The sequence below is a fragment of the Homo sapiens genome, chromosome 2 (assembly GCF_000001405.40).
Source record: "Homo sapiens chromosome 2, GRCh38.p14 Primary Assembly".
NCBI lineage: Eukaryota > Metazoa > Chordata > Mammalia > Primates > Hominidae > Homo > Homo sapiens.
This window is the reverse complement of record NC_000002.12, coordinates 86,736,575-86,755,768: the sequence shown is the minus strand read 5'-3', so window position 1 is coordinate 86,755,768 and position 19,194 is coordinate 86,736,575. Positions and strand designations below refer to the sequence as shown.

The window sequence follows — 19,194 nt, the reverse complement described above, 5'->3', positions numbered from 1 at the left end:
AATTGTTTTAAGGCAACAAATAATAGACAAAATTTACAGAAATAATCAATATACATAACATGCTTATCAATAAGAAACATATCTTATATACGCACAAAGTTTAAAAGGCTCTTAGGAGAAAAGTCTGGAGTACTCTGAAGGCTAAGGTAGCAAATACTATGTGCCAGTGACTACAGATATAGTCATAGTACGTACATGACTAGCACATATGAACAAAGTTTAATGAAAAAACCTAAGAAACGCATAGATAAGTGAATATTACCTTGAATAACAACCCAAATATTATTTGCTAATCACTATAAAACAACTGGGAAACCCATTACATGTTCATATATGTATGTAGGCTTTCTCGGGCACATTGGCCCATGCCTATAATCCCAGTACTTCGGGCAGCTGACGCTCCAGGAGGATCACTTGAGGCCAGAAGTTTGAGACCAGCCTGAGCGACATAGAGAAATCCTGTCTCTATAAAATATTTAAAAATTAGCCAGGTGTGGTGGTGTGCACCTGTAGTCTTAGCTACTCAGGAGGCCGGGGCAGGAGGATTACTTAAGCCCAGGAGTTTGAGAGTGTGCAGTGAGCTATGATCATCCCACTGCACTCTAGCCTGGGCCACAGAGCAAGACTCTGTCTCTTTGGGAAAAAAAAAAAAAAAAGTAGTTGTTGCCATATTTTGTTTAAGAGGTGTTAGAGGTATTTGGTTGAATTTATCTCCCAGATGTGTCACAATCTGAAATTTGCTTAAACAAATTCTACAAAGGTAATATGCATCTTACACAGAGATACAGTTCTTAAGTGAGATCTATTATAATTTATACAAGAATTTTATATAAATTTATACAGGAATTTCTGTCTAGTCATCTGGGCTGGTTTTAGAACTACACAAAATTTTCTCAGAACTGAGAAATGGCCAAGTACAGAGGCTCAAGTCTGTAATTCCAGCACTTTGGGAAGCCGAGGTGGGAGAATCACTTGAGCTCAGGAGTTCGAAACCAGCCTGGGTAACATAGTGAGATCCTGTCTCTACAAAAAAAAATTTTTTTTAATTAGCTGGGCATAACGGCACAGTCCTGTAGTCCCAACTACTCAGGAGGCTAAGGCGGGAGGTTGGGGGGTTGGGGCTGGAGTGAGCCATGATTATGCCACTGCACTCTAGCCTGGGTGACAGTGAGACCCTGTCTCAAAAAGGAGAAAGAACTGAGAAATGATTAGAAAGAAAAAACTAAGCTATGAAGAATTAAATGGGTTAGTGGAACTAAATTTTAAGGGAAAAAGTGTACATTTTATAAAAGTCAACTTCCCAGCTAACCCTGTAACACTGATGGTTAATTTTTCTGGTTTTAAAATACCAGGATTCCAAAGCTATAAGCTCACAACAAATCACTGCTTCTATAATCCAGTTTCTTCCCTTTATTTTATGAGCTATTTATTACAAATAACCTGGTAATCCTCACAGTAAAAAATTTTAGGACTGGGGCCAGCAAACTATGGCACAGGCCACATACAGCTTGCTGCCTGTTTTGTATAGCAGATGGCCAAGAATGGGTTTTTAAATTTTTAAAGGGTTGTAAAATAAAATGAAGAATATGCGACAGAGACCTTATGTGAAATGAAAAGCCTAAAATATTTCCTACTTGGTCCTTTATGGAAAAGCTTGCTGACCCTGCTCTAGAATAATATTTATTATAGCTTACAGAGTAATTTCAGACAATTCTTATCAATGAGAGGTTCATGGTCAATTACCAAAATCCACAGTAATTAAGAATAGAGTAGCTTTATAAAAATATTTGTTCTCTTCATCCACACCACCTAGTTCCAATAACCAATAATTTCTTAGAATGCTAGCATAAAACCCAGCAAAACCCAGCACATGAAGGAAGCTTAAATATCAAACTTGCACTGGCTGAACAATAGTGCTTGTTGTAATGTCAGCCCACACAAAGTGGTGGTGTAGCCTGGAAACAGAAAACCCTTTTCTCTCATGGGAATTCAGACCAACTGATAAGTGAAATAAGCTCCAACCATTTTCTCATATTGCACACCCCCCATATTTCACTTAGCCAAAATAAATAAAATAATTCTCCTTTGATTTCTCTGAAGTCTACCACAGGTAAGATAAATATATCTAAAAATCTCTAATGTGTTTTCTGATTGAGTTTTCTTACAGAGAGTTCTCAAAGTACTCAAAAGAAAGCAAACTCAATACTCACTCCAGAGCAGGTCTCAGAACTCTGACCTTTAATGCCTCTAATATTCTATTTAACTCCACAAATGGTTCCTTCTGACTTGGGTCTACAGAAAGACCAGATTCCTGGAAAAAGAAAGAAAGAAAGAACTTTTGTTAGCAGTAATCAGGGTAAGGAGCTAGTGGTAAAAGTATATTCTAGATTGTAAAATATGGGGCAAGCCATTAAAGATAATTCCCTATAGTAGAGACTGATGACTGCCCCCTAGTACATTCTTCCCCTCTTTTCCATAGTAGAATCCCCAAATTTCAGCAGGGTACATAAGCAAATGGAATAAAGCTGGGTATGGCTTTGTAAGACGTTAAGTTCTGACCAATGAAACATAAATATGCACTCTGCCCCTTTCTGGGATACAAAGGTATGGCTGGAGCTTTGGCTGCTATCCTGGACTCTGAAGACAGGAGACACCCTGGGAATAACAGAGGTACAAGGTGCTAAGTCCCTAAGAGTTTCACAATGCAGAGCTACCAAACATGCTGTGGACGTCTTACTACCGATTTCTGTGCAAGAAAAAAATTTCACTTTTGCTTAAGCCACTGTAATTGTGGGTCTTTTGTTACTTAAAAGCAAACAATCCTCAATGACAGTTTACTGCAGGAAATTACATGGACACATACACAAAATCCCTGTAAGGTACAGAGAAAAACCGAGTTATCATTTATCTGAATTGTTTAAAATAGAAAAGGCTTAGATTAGAGGTTTGGTTTACAGACTGATTTTAAACTAATTCTTTCGGTCCTTCATGTTTCCAAACAAAAATGCAACAGCACATGGTGGCTTAGAACGGAGTGTGAAGACATATGAATCAGGGACTGAATCCCAGTTCTTTCACAAAGAACCTGTTAAGGCCTCGGGCAACTTACTTCTCCAGACCTTAGATTTTTCATCTGTAGAATGGAAACAATAATTTTTACTTCATGGGATTGCAGCAAGGAATAAAGGCAGGGCTTGGCTTAAGGTAAGCACTCAATATATGGCAGCTACTACTATTATGACTACATGGTATTGGTAAACTGTTGTAGAGTTCTAACTCATGTGTGATAGAAATAAAAGACAAATGCTGCTAATGCGAAGTAAAAAATTTTAGCTGGAAATTCATTTGATAAAATCGTTTAAGCTGGGCTAGAACAGAAGAACAAACATCAATGTTTTTGTCCCTTTCCTCTTGTCTGCTATACTAACCTTCTATATCAAAAATGGACATGAAGAAAGAATATCGCTTTTGCGCCCTTTGATTCATGAACTGGGACTAACCTTCTGGGACAGGAACAAGAAAAAAATGATCTGGATAACAAGTTCTAGAACTATAATTTTTGCCACTTAAAAAATTCCCCAAAATACTCCTAGTAAAATGAGGTCATCTCTGATAATTTAAATATTAAAAATCTATCTATAGCTAGAGGAAGACTCAAAACCCCACCCTGCAAATACTATAAACTCCAAGGAGTTCCCTTGTTTCTTTTTCATATCCTCCCAGTTGGCACACTGTTACCTGACAGAGCTCCTCAGCCACATCCAGCATTCCTTGTCGAAAGAAGTGCTCCACCATCACCTCATTGAGAAGCCTTTGGCTGTCTGCCTGCCAGCAGCCATCTATTCCCACACTGCTAATGTCAGAATCAAAATTCTGGGGAAAAGAAAGAGAAAGGGAATCATAAATAGATTATTTTCACCCCACTTAACAGGAAAAAAATGGTCTTTGTTTCAGTCTGAGATACCCCAATAAGAACCCAACTGCAATTTATAGCGTCCCAAAGGAAGGAATTTTTCCACTGCTCCTTTCTAAAACTTGTCATGCTAGAAGAGTAAATAGGTATATTTTTAGATAATGTTTTTTTAAAGTAGATTTAATAATGGTGTCCATGAATAAAATAAAATCAAGCGAATGAACTGATTTCTAGGCATTATATGCAGCAATATTTTTAGAGGAATGCAATGATGACCTGTAAAAGCATGCCCACTGCAGCACTGTCTATAATGGGAGGGGAAAAAAGGAGAAAACACATATGCCTATCAACATAATAATCCATGGCACATCCCAACAACTGCAGTATTGAGGCTGAAAGTGGTTGTGGGGGCATGGCCAACTAGTTAAGAGAGTGGTTTATCTACACCTCTGGGTTTGCCTTTGAGCTATACATGCATGGTCCTGACTCTAAACAGCATACTACAGATTTTGAAAACTGAACTAGGGAATAGACCTAATTCCTAGGTCCCATATTGGCTACCAGGTGTTACACACACAGGACAAATCTAAATAACTGTAATGGCTTTAGAAACAAAACTAACACTGAAACTACAACCCAGAAAAGACTGGTTAGAACTTGTGGCCTGAATCCAACAAGGTTGATTGCCTGCTAAAACAAAAATACCAACACTCTCCACAGAACTTAAACAAGACCCAGAGTACTATAATACATATTCAAAATGTTCAAGATACTGCAAAATTACTTGGCATACAAAGAACCAAGAAAATCTCAACTCACATGGAAAAAGATGATCAACAGACACCAATGCCAACATGACAGAGATGCTGGAACCATCCAAAACTTTAGGGCAGTTATTATAAAAATACAAACAATCTTGAAACAAAGGGAGAGACTTAGCAAGGAAAAAGCTGATAGAGTAACCAAAATAAAAAATTCATTGGATGAATTTTTCAACAGCAGAAGCAAAGTGGCAGTGCAAAAAGTCAGTGAAAATCAATAGAATTCATCCAATCTGAACACCAGTTTAAAAAAAAAAAAAAAACAGAGCCTCAGGGACCTGTGGGAAAATTACAAAAGCTCTAACGTGTGTGTCATCGGAATACTAGGAGAAGAGAAACAGTATGGTACAGAAAAAAATAGTTGAAGAGTATTTCCCAAGTTTAGCAAAAGACATAAATCTCAGATTCTAGAAGGTCAGTGAACTCCAACATGGACAAATTCAAAGAAATCTGACCCAAACATCTCACATTCAAACTGTTAAAACTAAAGATAAAGCAAAAAATCTTGCAGGCAGCCAGAGAAAAGTGACATGTTACTTACAGGGGAACCATGATTCAAATGACTACAGATTTCTCAACAGAAACTATGGAGGCCAGAAAGAAGTGGCATGACATTTGTCAAGTACTGAAAGAAAATAACTGTCATCCTAGAATTCTATATCCAGTGAAAATATCCTTCAGGAATGAAGATGAAATAAAGACATTCTCAGACGGAGGGAAACTGAATTTACTGCCATCAGACTTGCTCTAAAAGTATTGCTAAAGTCTTCAGACAGAAGAAAATGACACCAGAAGGAACATGAAACATCAAGAGTGAAAGAAGAGCAAACGTACATCACAGTGTGAAAGCTTTCCCAGCCTAATTCCACTTCAGCACCCTTTATCTTTCATAGGCATTGCTCCCTAATAAATGTTTTGCATTTCTTTTTAAAAATATATAAACTTAACTAGACAAGGCCATTTAGATTTAACTAAAATTGCAATCCTAGTCAACCACTGCTTAAATATACAGTCCAACCAATATGGGATTATTTTACATGATGTACAAGAACAGGTAGTAAGTAACCAGCAACAGCAACTGCAAACAACCCACTATTTACAATCACAATGCAGGAGTGCTTTTCTCCAAAATTAAGCACATTTTTCTCCCTATAAACAGCTATCTACCCTATCTCTAGATGTGAAAACAGTAGCCTAAAACTGAATACATACATTAAGGTTTGGAATCACTCAAGACAAAACAAACACAAAAAACCAAGAATATTGTCAGTCTTAATTTTTATTCATTTCCTTTTCACAGACATTTTTCTTAGCCAAGTATTTAACCTAAAGAATAGAAATAACGGGGTGGGCATGATGGCTCACTCCTGTAATCCCAGCACTTTGGGAGGCCGAGGTGGGAGGATCACCTGAAGTCAGGAGTTCAAGACCAACCTGGCCAACATGGTGAAACCTCGTCTCTACTAAAAATACAAAATTAGCTGGGCGTGGTGGTGGGTGCCTGTGATCCCATCTACTTGGGAGGCTGAGGAAGGAGAATCGCTTGAACCCAGGGAGGCAGAGGTTGCAGTGAGCCGAGATCACGCCATTGCACTCCAGCCTGAGAGACAGAGCAAGACTCCATCTCAAAAAAAAAAAGAAAGAAAAAGAAATAATACAAAGTACCTAGATGCTAAAGCAAGAGCATCCATGCATATAATGAAAAAACTGTTAACTAGCACTGAAGAACCACAACTGCTTGTATAAGATTATGTTTAATTTCTATTTATCAGATTCTGCCTGTTGAGAGCTAATTTTATAACAGTTCATCAGTATTTTTAAGTAAATTATTTTATCTTTATGCTGTCTATGACAACTACAACACCGGAGATGGTACTGCTTTCTGTCTCTTCTGGAGTAGAGCTCAGAGGCTGATCAACGCTGTTCTCTCCCAAATTCCACTTCCCAAAGGGCCATTCAAATGCATAAAGGAATGGGTTTCTAAAGATCTGAAGATGAGTTTATTACAAACTCAGGAACCTGCCCATAACTCTCTAAATGTCTAAATGCACAGTATAAGGAAAGAATAGAGAGATGAATTAAGAAAGTTCTCTCACTAACTTATCAACTGCATTAAATCCAAATACAACCTTCAGGTTTCTACTTATTCATTTAATGATTTTTCCCCAAACAACAAATTTATTAGTACCTATTCCTTAGGGAAAAATAAAACAACGCTGGAAGACACGCTGGTCAGCTCAAAGCACAGATCATGTTGAAACAATTTTATCCGGTAATATATATATTAGGTCAGAATTTTAATAAGCTACCATCTGACAGTACTTGCTCAGATCAAACAAAATAATCCCTTCAATTCTTTCCTTAATATACATATTAAAAGTAAATATTCATCAACTAGAAAATTACAAAAAGAGTCTAATATTTAAACAATTTTCTTTGGGTTTGCTACAAAGTTTTACAACAATGCCCTATGTGTATCTCTATTTTCTTAAGGCTTACTATGGTCACTACTACATAGGTAAGAAAAGTCAAACACCCTTACACTCAAAATCTAACTACATTCAAGCTCGTAACTTATTTGCTGCTCTTGGAAAAGAAGCATGAATAAGCAATGCATTCGATTGTTTTCTGGACACTTCTGAGCTCCCTTCTACCATTCTGATTTTCCAGTATAAACTACTGAGGTAGATAAGTAAACTTCCATAGCTTATTTTCTGGTCACATGCATTAAAAATTAAAGCTAAGATTATAAAATATATAGAGGTTGAGGAAATGCAATACACTGTCAAACTCCTTTTGTTATAACTGCAGGTTCTTACTCACTGTTGCATCAGAGCTAGCATTAGTTCCAGCTTCTGTTGCTAGGTAACCAAGCTCATTTGCATGGCTGTCCAGAAAATCCACAGCACTGCAAACCAGCCAAGAGGTGGCTAATGAAGAGAAATACCATCTATAATTAACATCTTCTGTCTTACTATACTTTTTCTTTTCATATTTTTTAAGCAAAGAAAAGCTTTGGCATCCTGTTCTTAATTGGGAAGAAAGGATCCAAACAAGAACCAAAAGCAAAAAAGCACACATCCAAGGGTGTGTCCATCCGGAGAGGATGTTCTGACTTGGAAGGAGAAATCCAGGACATACTAAATCTAGAAGCTGAGGCAGAAGAGGAGTAAATAACTTTGATACAACATCATTATGAAAGTGTGCGATCTAAACAGGCCGTATCATGCCGTATCATGAATACACAAATCAGTCGGAAATGGCTTTCACTGTTTACCGTCAAAAACCCATCCGTTTCTCAAATATATTTTATAAAATTATAATGACTGAGCAGACAGTGGTCACAATATATATAAAACTCAGTATTTAATTCCTAAGTACCAATTCCCTAATAGTATTAACATGTATTTTGAAACTTCTCCATCTACTTTGAAGAAAAATTAGTGTATGAACCAACAAAATGTGCTATTGTTGCACCTACCAGGAATTAATTTCCCTTTTAAGCATCCAGTTAATCTGGTTTAGCAGTGAGAGGCAGACAGCAAAGGATACTTAACAGAGTAAGAAGACCTGGATTCTGGTTCTCCTCAGACTAACAGACGATAGCTACTTCGCATACAAACCACACAAGATTAGTATTCAGAAGAGTTTGAAACAAACACACACCTCTCAATAAGAAAGATAACTTAACAGAAAAAATGGACAGAACATGAAATGCACAAATGGGAAATTCCTAATGTTAAACATGAGAAGATGCCCCACCTTCAAGATGGTCAAAGAAAGGCAAAATTAGTACAACTAGATACTACTTCACACCCATCTGATTAATCTTTAAACATTTGAAGTCTGATAATACCAGGTATAGGTGAGAAATGAGGAAGCAGGAAGTGTTATAGGTGTTTGGTAGGGCTGTAAATTGGTATAAACCCTTCAGGGGAAAATTTTACAATACCTAGTAAAGCTGATAATGAGGCACCTGTCCTATGATGAAATAATCCATATTTAGGCATATACCAGATAGCAGTGCTTTACAAACCAAGGGCTGGAAAATAAACTTGGTAGTGTGTCATAATCAGCATTTTGTAGATGCATTTTTTGATGTAGACATTCCATATTCTCCTTACGGTATTTATACCTCTTCTTTGGTTATCAACATTAAGAGAAAGGTAGATTCACACTGTTATGTTATTGCTTTATTTAAAAAATGAGGGAGTAACGTGCCAAACCACTCTGCCAGGCCTTTCTGTCACATTTGCATCCCTATCCCTCCACTATTAGTTATCTGCCTTTCTGTGGCTATTTTATTAATTCTTCCAAGGATGATATGTATCTCTTACCATTCTATGGAAAGGAGAGAAATTCATATGTAGAGTGGGTGCCCTCAGGGCACTAGAGATGAATTCTCTCAAGGAACTCCAGTTGAGAAAGGTTCCTCCAAGTCTTAAAATCTGGGTTTTAATCCCAACTCTGTGACTTCAGGCAGGTTACTTACAAATCTAAGTTTTCACATCTGTATCTAGAGACAATAATCTCGACCTTACAAGTCTTTGGTGAAGATAAAGGTAAATAATGTACATGAAAACCTCTATGAGTATCCATCCATCAGTAAACCTTTAATACACAGTAGCTGAATCTGAGAGCCAGGCCAAACCTAACCAAAGCTGAATCTGAGGGCCAGGTTGCCACCAAACCTTCTGCTTCTGTATTTAAAAGAATCCTTATTAGAAAATATAAACAAAAACAAATACACGAAAGCATGCAGAGATATTAATATTCATTAATTTAAAAGCACTTAAATGCAATTGCAGACTGGATTAGCTAGCACAGTTTAATGGATATTAAGTCCTTTTGTCCCTCTCTACCCAACACACAGACCTTGTTTATCACATACCAACATAAAAGGCAGTTCTGGACTGCTCACCCAGAACTATCTTAAAATATTCTATATGTCATTTTTTTATACCATTACTCCATTCACTCCTTAATACAGTCAGCATTTTGCCTCACCAATGTAGATACTCCACCCAGTGGCAAAAGATCTGTTTAGATAATGAGGTTTAAAATTTTTTTTAACTATTATTGTTCCCCTTCAACATTACCAGCTCTGCAATGGCCTCAGTGATTTCCTAGTACAGCACAGTGTTTAAGAACAGATTCTTGAGTAAAAACTTTTTCCAAACCTTGATCCACTACTTCCAAATTATATACCTGGGTATTGAGTCTCAGTTTCCTCATATATAAAATGGGAATAATGTCCCTGCATCATGGGATAGATATAAATGTATGTAAAGCACTTAGCTCACTATCTGGAACATGGTCAACACTCAATATGTGATAGCTATTATCCTCCTACCTATGACTACTATTTAGTCTGTTTTCATCCTACTTAATGAGGTCAAGTAAATCCTCAACTGCTTTCATCATCTGATCAAATCCACACCTCTCAGGCCTTCCATCATTTACCTTTCCCTATTCCCAACAGGAGCAGTCACTCTAATCAAGTCAATCTTGAAGCATCTTAAACATGAGTCAGGCATATTCTCAGTTGCTGTTTTGCCCTTTCCGAGCCTCAAGGAAAAATCTCATCTCACTGTTCTGCTGCTCTAAATCTTACCCACTCTTCCAAGTCAAATTTAAGATAGCAACTACCTTTACTTTATAATAAGCAGTGTCTATTCCATGCAAACTTCTTTCATGTAGCCTCAGAATTTTTCCAGTTATTTTACATATACAAAACAGCAATCTTATAAAGGACATGTAGTATGTGGTCAGCTTTTAATTATACCACATCAGATTTGAGATATTAAAATCTTTAGTACTATTTAACACATATGCACACATACCTAGAAGTCTAAAGCAATAATCATTTTTATTGACTTTTCTTAGGAAGTAAACTTTAAAAGTCAATTGACTAAATAAAATACTGAATAAAATACCCTAAACTGGACTGAATTCTAGATTATCTAAAAATGGGAGAGGAAATCAAGAACAGCCCAAATACATTATTTTTACTAAAAAAAAAAAAATTGTCACAGAACAAATATTATTTATTTTAAATAAATAATGGGCCAGGCACAGTGGCTCACACCAATAATCCCAACAATGGGAGGCCAGGAGTTCAAGACTATCCTGGGCAACACTGCAAGACCACATCTCTACGCAAAAATGAAAAAAATTAACTGGGCATGGTAGCAAGCGCATGTAGGCCCAGCTACTTGTCTGGGACTTGGATGCTGAGGTGGGAGGACCACTCGAGCCCAGGGAGGTCAAGGCTGTAGTGAGCTGTGATGGTGTCACTGCACTCCAGCCTAGGCAACAGAGCGAGACTCTGTTCATAATAATTAAAAGCCAAACAATATCTTGGCTACCACCACCAGAAACTTCTATTCTGCTTATATTTTCAGAGACATGATAGGTAGGGAACTTTAAAACATAAGTATTAAAATATAAAAGGAAAAATACCACTGAGCATGACTAAAATTTACTAATGTTTCTCACTCAAAACCAGCCTGCTCATACAGGAGCCACTGGCTTCTTTGTCCTCATCCTGTAAGGGTGGGAGCATGTGTCCATAAAGTGGTACTCACAGGCTGATGGACATTCCAGTTTATTACTCAGGTCTGTTTGGCATGGTTCTTAAAAGCCTTATGCCACACTGGATTCAGCTTTATCCTGTTTGGTCACCACCAATCAGGTCCACCCAGCCTTTACAACAGGCTGCCCAGAGCTTACACAACTACCAGGTTCAAATTAAAAGAGCTCCTGGAGGACTTAACAAGTCAATGCAGTCTTATGTGAAACAGCCTACACGGAATTCCTGATGTATGTGAGAAGCCCATTCACAACGTCTAGGTACTTCTATTGGGGAAACAGCTTCCTCTTCAGCTGAGGCCAAGTAGATGCCAAAAATACGGGGAGAGTGTGTACTGAAAGATACTAGGGAACTGAGCTAAAAGATCCAGGCTTTCCTCTGTGGTGGCAGACTACAGTACCACAAACACTATTCAGTGTCAGCTAAATAATATAGTATGTATGTATGTATTTTTTTTTTTTTTTTGAGATGGAGTCTCGCTCTGTTGCCCAGACTGGAGTGCAGTGGTGCAATCTCGACTCACTGCAACCTCCGCCTCCCAGGTTCAAGCGATTCTCCTCCCTCAGCCTCCCAAGTAACTGGGATTAGAGGAATGTGCCTAATTTTTTTTTGTATTTTTAGTAGAGATGGGAGTTTGCCATATTGGCCAAGCTAGTCTCGAACTCCTCACCTCAGGTGATCCGCCTGCCTCGGCCTCCCAAAGTGCTGGGATTACAAGTGTGAGCCACCACGCCCAGCCGACTAAATAATATAGTTTCATATGACGAATGAGAAGAATCCAGAATCCAGGTCACCTAGAACCAAAACTACTTTCACAGGAACATGAAACAATTTTTTGGGCTGGGCACTACTCAGGAGGCTGAGGCAGGAGAATCGCTTGAACCTGGGAGGCAGAGTTTGCAGTGAGCTGAGATGGTGCCACTGCACTCCAGCTTGGGCAAAAAGAGTGAGAGTCCTTCTCAAAACAAAAACAGAAACAAAAACAAAAACCAAAAACACCCCAATTTTTTTGAAAGAAACTGTATAAGAATTACTTGAAAAAGTCCTTATAACTTCCAAGGGCATAAAAAAAAAAAAAGTCCTCAAAAGAGCAATGAGTAAATTAAAATATGTGATTAGGAATCTTTACCATGAACACATCCCCCTGCCCAAATAAGCCAGAATGTAGATTATTCATTATAAATGTGTTCCCTTGATATCCACTTCCAAAAAGATACTTCCATGTTTGGCACCAAGTACATCCAGATAATGTTTTGCCTTAAAGATTAGTCAAAATATCTGACAACCCTTATGAATATCTATAAAGACCTGCTAGGTCTGGAGTAAGAGATGCTCAGCCAGGCACCAGGAGCAAGCAGGACAAGAGCAGAAGAAGATTCTGATCATCATGACAGGACAAAAAACATAAACTAGGAAACAGGGACATACATGGCATATATGGTCAGCCTACCAGCTGCAGAAAGCATAATTGGTGAATTATTTGCCCAACTGCTCCAGATCCTGGTCAGTAGCCCACACACTAGAATTATAGTTGCTGAGCCCATCCCCCCTTATTCCAAGAATCTCTGATTGGCTGCCTTGGAAGCTTTAGCTCTTCTCACTGTCATACCACCTTTGGTTCTACTGTCCAAATGCTGACCTTCTGTTATAACTGCAGGCAGCCTGGTGGTCAAGCAGATGTCCCCAAGAACTTCCTGGGGTTCTCTCTGAACTTTGAGCCATTTAGAATCACCAGGATGCCTTGGTCACTGTCAACATCAAAATGTGAATCTTCTTAGACACCACCAGTAGTTACTGTACCTCTAGAGGAACTGAGGGTTCTTCACCCACAAATGAAGACCATCTCTAAAGTGCCCCATCACATTCTAGAAGGATACAGCTGCTGGAAGAAAATAAAGTGTCCCACCACCACTCCCACAGTTCTTAAGCTCATACACACCAACAACCACTCCAGGAACCAACTGAAGACTTCAAATATCATAGTACCAGAGAGGGTTGATGCCAAACCCACTTCTAAAACTGTGTTCACTCTCTTGGAGTTACCAAACAGGCTTCACAACCTCAAAGCCATTTCACAATCTCCCCAAAGTCTCAATCTCCCCACAATCTCCCCAGTCACAATCTCCCCAGAGTCTGCCTTCCCAGACTTTGCTGGTGACTGCCATCACTGACATAACAACGTGGCTGGAACCCTGCTGCTGCCAAAACCACCCTCCGACTCTCTGGCCAAGTCAAACCCCTCACACCACTATGGGAGTAGTGAGAACTTTCTGAAAGGCCACTAACACTTCTGTAAGCCACAACTACCAAAACAAGTCCTCTGAGCCCATGCCACTCACAGTCTTGTCATACCACACCTACCAGTGAACAGTATTGCCTTATAAGCATATAGTTCTGACTCAAGCAGCGTCAAGCCTAGCCTTTTCACAGGATAATTTCTAACAGTTGGGTCTACCCATGAGTTACACGAACCACTCTCCAGATTCAATGAGCTTCTATTACCTCTGTTACAACTATCACTCTTGTGAGTACAGACTAAGTTAACTCATAAGACTGTTTAGAAGATGCCTTTGCTACAAAGGGCACTCCTCGAAAGTTCTTCCTACCCTCCCAGACATTTACGATGTGTGAAGAGAAATGCCCCAACCAGTCACAATCTCCCCAATGTCTGAAGTAGTCAGAGGTATCACACAGTAACCTTGAACTACTTCTCTTAGGTGCCAATAGGACTATGAACTCCATGAATAAAATCAGCTGGTACTAAAAATGGTAACTGCTTATAAGTCAACCACCAGGTCAAAGATGGCTTACTCAAAAAATGTCACAAGAAAAAAAACATCAAATCAAAGTGACCAGCCTCACTGCCTAGCAACCAACTCACTCACTCATTCACACAGAAGGCAAAATTGAAAGGTAGCTGGGACGCCCATAGGAAGAAAACAGTTAGGATGATGCAGGGGAGACTGATACAAGGCTGTTATTCTAATCATCCCATAACAGAGACAGAGTCACAGCTAGGGAATTATTCAGGAATTAGGAAAAGTTACTTCTGGTAAACAAACTCCCACATACTGGGTTAAAATTTCTTTGGAACTTTATTTATCATGACCCTAGGAGCTCTAGTCATATATGCAAATGGATAAACAACAAAGCTATAAAAGCAGAGGGTTTTAATTTTGCTTTTATTTTTTAAATAATAGCAACAAGGAACTTTAGTAAGAATAACATAGTAAAACTAGACCTGTAAAAGTCATCAAAAGCAAACATGACAGGAATAGCATAAAGTAATTTGTGAAAGCTAGTATTATCAAAGCACTGACAGAAGAAAAAGAATGATGCTAAAAAATACAAAACACTTCTTTCAATACCATACCTTATCAATGGCTTTTCCAACCCGAGAAACACTGCTGTGGATGTCTTTGTGGTCGGAGGCCAATTTTTGAACAGTATCCTTTATTCTTTTACAGCACTGTGTCAAAACAAGTGAAAGTGTCCCTGATAATTCAGCATCTTGGCCTATAAAAAAACAAAGGAAGGATTGGTTACTCACTTAAGCAAACCCAAAGATGGCAAGTTTCTAATGGGCCTTTTGGACCATGAAAGATGGAAGAAAAGTGAAGAAAAACCAGTATCTGCTTTGAAGCTGATGGTCACATTCATAGATGTGATTTTTCAAATGGATACTCAGAAAGATATAATTTTTTTATTTTTGGAAATAAGAAAATTTTACTGTGAAAGGAATCATTTTTATCATTACAACAACCAGCACAGGCTGTGAATAATACTGTCAAGGCAGTATTATTTTTGAGAAAATATGTCTAAGTGAATAAACTCACTTATTAAACCCAGTTACACTGTTCAAGTCATTCTCAAAACGTTCTGGTTGTTACTAAATTTCCTCAAGAGAGATGATTTAGTGCAAATGCTTCATATTCCATATAAAGAGGTAGAAGAAAACAAACTTCCCTGGGTACCACGATGTGCAGAAAGGAGTTAACACAGCAGGTCATAGACTACTACCCTTAGAAAGTCCTGCTTACAAAGTCACCTCTTGGCTGGCATATAGAAACCTGGGAGTTTGGGAGTGTTCCCATCACTCCCTAACTCAGTGTTCCCCAACCTTTTTGGCACTAGGGACCAGTTTCGTGGAAGACATTTCTTCCACGGACGAGGGCTGGGGGGAATGGTTTCAGGATGAAACTGTTCCACCTCAGATCAGGCGTTAGTTAGATTCTCCTAAGGAGCACGTGAGCCAGATCCCTCGAATGTGCAGTTCACAACAGGGTTCATGCCCCTATGAGAATCTAATGCTGCCGCTGATCTGACAGTGGGTGGAGCTCAGGCGGCAATGCTCGTTCACCGCTGCTTGCCTCCTGCTGTGCACGGCCTGGTTCCTAACAGGCCACAGAGGGGTACTGGTCCATACCCGGGGGTTTGGAGACCCCTGCCCTAGCTGAAAAGAATGGCTCATTGTGCCTAAACTGTTGTACAGTGTGATTTATGGTGAACATCTGCTTTCCTTCTGGGAATCTAGAATGTTGATACATGCTAGGCAGTGAGTACCTGGCTTTCTCCTGGCTTGGAGAAAGCTTCCAATAGTCCTCTCCCAGTGAAGTCACATGGAATATGCTTAATTCCTGCAGCCATGGTTTGTGAGAAGTGTTAAGTGTTGCCTACCAGGGAAGCTCATTAGAAGCTCAGTGCCCAGGGTTTTTATTGGGGGCTGGTCACCAGGGCACCCACTGCCTAACTCTGGACTGCCTAACTTTGGACTTTGGACTTCTGCCCCATGAGTCTTTTCCCTTTGGTGATTTTGCTTTACACCCTTTTGCTGTAATAAATTCTAGCTAAGAGTATGATTATATGCTGAATTGTGTGACTCCTTTTAATGAATCACTGGAACCTAAAGGTGGTTTTGAAGACCCCTGACACACATGAGATCAACCAAAAGTTACTACAGTTTACATCCTTTCCCTGAGCTACCTCCCTCCAAATTTTGTTCCTATAGCAGGAAAAAAAGGAGGAGAAGGGAGAAAAACAGACAGATAAAACAAACCCAGTTATGGTATTTGTCATTTCTCTCTCTATCTACGTATTCCCACCTGTAAGCAACAGGCCTGGTTTCTGAAATCCTAACCAACATTATATAGAAGAGCTTCTTGAATTTTAATTTACATCAGAATCACTTAAAGTTAAAACAAAGTAGCTGGACCCCATCCCCAGAGTTTCTCATTCAATAGGTCCGGGATGGAACCTGAGAATTTAAACAAGGAGCCCAAGAGTAAAACAGCCCTAGGATGCCTGCTCATTTAACCAATATTTATTGAGCACTCACTATATATGACAGGTACAGCAGTGAAACAAAATAACCAAAAATCCCTTCCCAACAACTTAACTTCTGGCAAGAGACGTAACACACAAAATAAGCAAATTATATACTACGACAAAAGATGATACATGCTACCTGGGAAAGAAAAGCAGGGTAAGCGAGATGGGGAGTGTGTGTGGGTGGAGCAGCCGCAACTTCAAAACAGTGCTGGCATGGTAGGCTTCACTGAGTAGATGACACTGGAGGCAAGACTTGAAAAAAGTGAAGGAATTACCATGTGGCTGGCTACTTTGGGGTAAGCATGCCAGGCTGCGGGGAGAAAAGCCCTACTGCAAAAATACACCTAGACTATTCAAACAACAAAGAGGTCAGCATGTCAAAAGTGGATTTCTGGCCAAGGAAAATAGAAGAAGAGGTCCAAGAGATAATGGTCCTGGTTTGGTAGGATCTCTTTGGCATTGTAAAGACTTATGCTTTTACTTTGACTGAAAGGGACCACTGCAAGGTTTTGAGCAGAGAAGGCATGTAAACTAATTAAAAAAAAAACCCACAAAAAACATTTTTTTTTTTTGAGACAGGGTCTCGCTCTGTTGCCCACACTGGAGTGCAGTGGCACAATCTGGGCTCACTGCAACCTCTGCTTCCCGTGCTTAAGCAATCCTCCTACCTCAGCCTCCCAAGTAGCTTGGATGACAGGCGCCCACCACCACACCGGATAATTTTTGTATTTTTTGCAGAGACAGGGCTTCATTATGTTGCCCAGGCTGGTCTCAAACTTCTGTGCTGAAGCAATCCTCCTGCCTCGGCCTCCCAAAGTACTCGGATTACAGGCGTGAGCCACCATGCCTGGCCGATAAAACATTTCAATATGGTCAGTCTAACTGGCAACGGGAGTACCAGAACTGAGCAGGAAAATAAGAGGCTGTGGCAGCAATCCAGATGAGAAATGACACTGGCTCAGTCCAGGATTTCATGACTGGACATGAGTGAAGAAAAGGACTCACAGATGTCTCCAAGATTTCTAGCCTGGGTCAACTAGAAAGATGGAGTTGTCTTCAGTTAAAACAAAAACAATCTCAGCACTTCAGGAGGCCAAGGCAGGAGGATCACTTGAGCACAGGAGTTTGAAACCAACCTTGGGCAACAGAGTCAGACCCTGTCTCTACAAAACATACAAAAATTAGCTGGGCATGGTGGCACACGACTGTGGTCCCAGCTACTTGGGAAGCTGAGGTGCGAGGATCACTTCAGCCTGGGACGTCTCGGCTGCAGGGAGCTACAGCACTGCACTCCAGCCTGAGTGACAGAGCGAGACCTCAACTCCCCATCCTGCCAAAAAAGAATAAAGGCTAAGCAGGTATGAGGGGAGAGGAGAGAGAGAAAGTTCAGTTTGGGGCTTGTTAAGTTTGAGACATTGAGTAGGCACCACAGTGCATAAGTGGAGGAGTTGGTGAGATATACAAACCTGGAGTTCAACAGCAGTGTTAGTGCTGGAGATACAAATTTGTGAGTCACTGACATATATATATATATATATATGATACTTAATGCATGGGACTATATGAAATCACCAGGGGAGTCAGTACAGACACAGAGAAGTGATAAAAGAACTGAGTCTTGAGAACTCCAAGTTTATGAGGCTGGGAAGAAATAGAACTGGAAAAGGAGGCTAACAAAGACTACTGAAGCACTAACTGTGATGGAGGAGGAAACTCAAGAAAAGTATAATGTTGGGGAAACCAAGAGAAGAAAATGTGTCAAGGAAGGAGGAGTAACCAGCTGTGTTGATGTGCTACTAGGTCAAGTAAGATGGGGACTGAGAATTGGCCACTGGATTTACAATGTGGAAGTAATCAGTGACGATGACAAGAATAGTGTCTCTAAAATTCTATGAAAAGAAATCCTAAAAGGTTACAGGGAACTGTGAAGAGGGACTATATTAAGTCTGGTTCAATGACAACTACTGAGATAAATGAAAAGATAAGAAAAAAGCTTTCCTTATCTCTAAATACAGTTGCACAAAGTTTCTATCAAGTGTTTCCAACTTCCAATAACACAATTAGGCTTCCAACTTCTAATAACATAATTTAGGCTAAGGCAAGACTTGGTACTTCAAGAAAATTTCAAAATCTGTTTAAAAGGTGTTCCACAGATTTCTTGGACCAAAAGCATCTAATTGCTTCAGCAGCTCTGTTCTGGCCATTTCTGATCTTTCTGTACCTAAAGCACACCTAACCTCAACAGCCTCATCTTCTCTATGAACCCATCTGACCACAGACTTACTCCCTCTTCTGAATTCCTGGTAACTTCTGATCTCTCCCCTACTCCCCCAGCACTTAATTATAACCCATTTTAACAATTTCATATATATATACCGTCATCAGTCTCTACTAAACATAAGCCCCCAAGGGAAGACCAAGTCCTTATTATAAATTGTATACTCCAGTTTTATATTAATAGTGCCTGCAAATGTGCAAGACATATAAGTATCTGAATTGATGGTAAATAAAGTGAGGAAAAAATAGTTTTTGTTTTTGCT

General features: G+C 39.4%; 1 protein-coding gene across 1 annotated transcript in view; it reads right to left on the bottom strand.

The window, feature by feature from the left end:
- Nucleotides 1–19,194, bottom strand: part of RMND5A (required for meiotic nuclear division 5 homolog A) — a 57,751-nt gene that overhangs the window by 22,273 nt on the left and 16,284 nt on the right. Inside the window, exons 2-4 of the mRNA NM_022780.4 lie at nucleotides 14,700–14,842; nucleotides 3,739–3,873; nucleotides 2,211–2,311 (exon numbers count right to left, since the gene is read on the bottom strand). Of these exons, the coding sequence (NP_073617.1) occupies nucleotides 2,211–2,311; nucleotides 3,739–3,873; nucleotides 14,700–14,842 (379 nt within the window). The remainder of the gene's footprint in view (nucleotides 1–2,210; nucleotides 2,312–3,738; nucleotides 3,874–14,699; nucleotides 14,843–19,194) is intronic.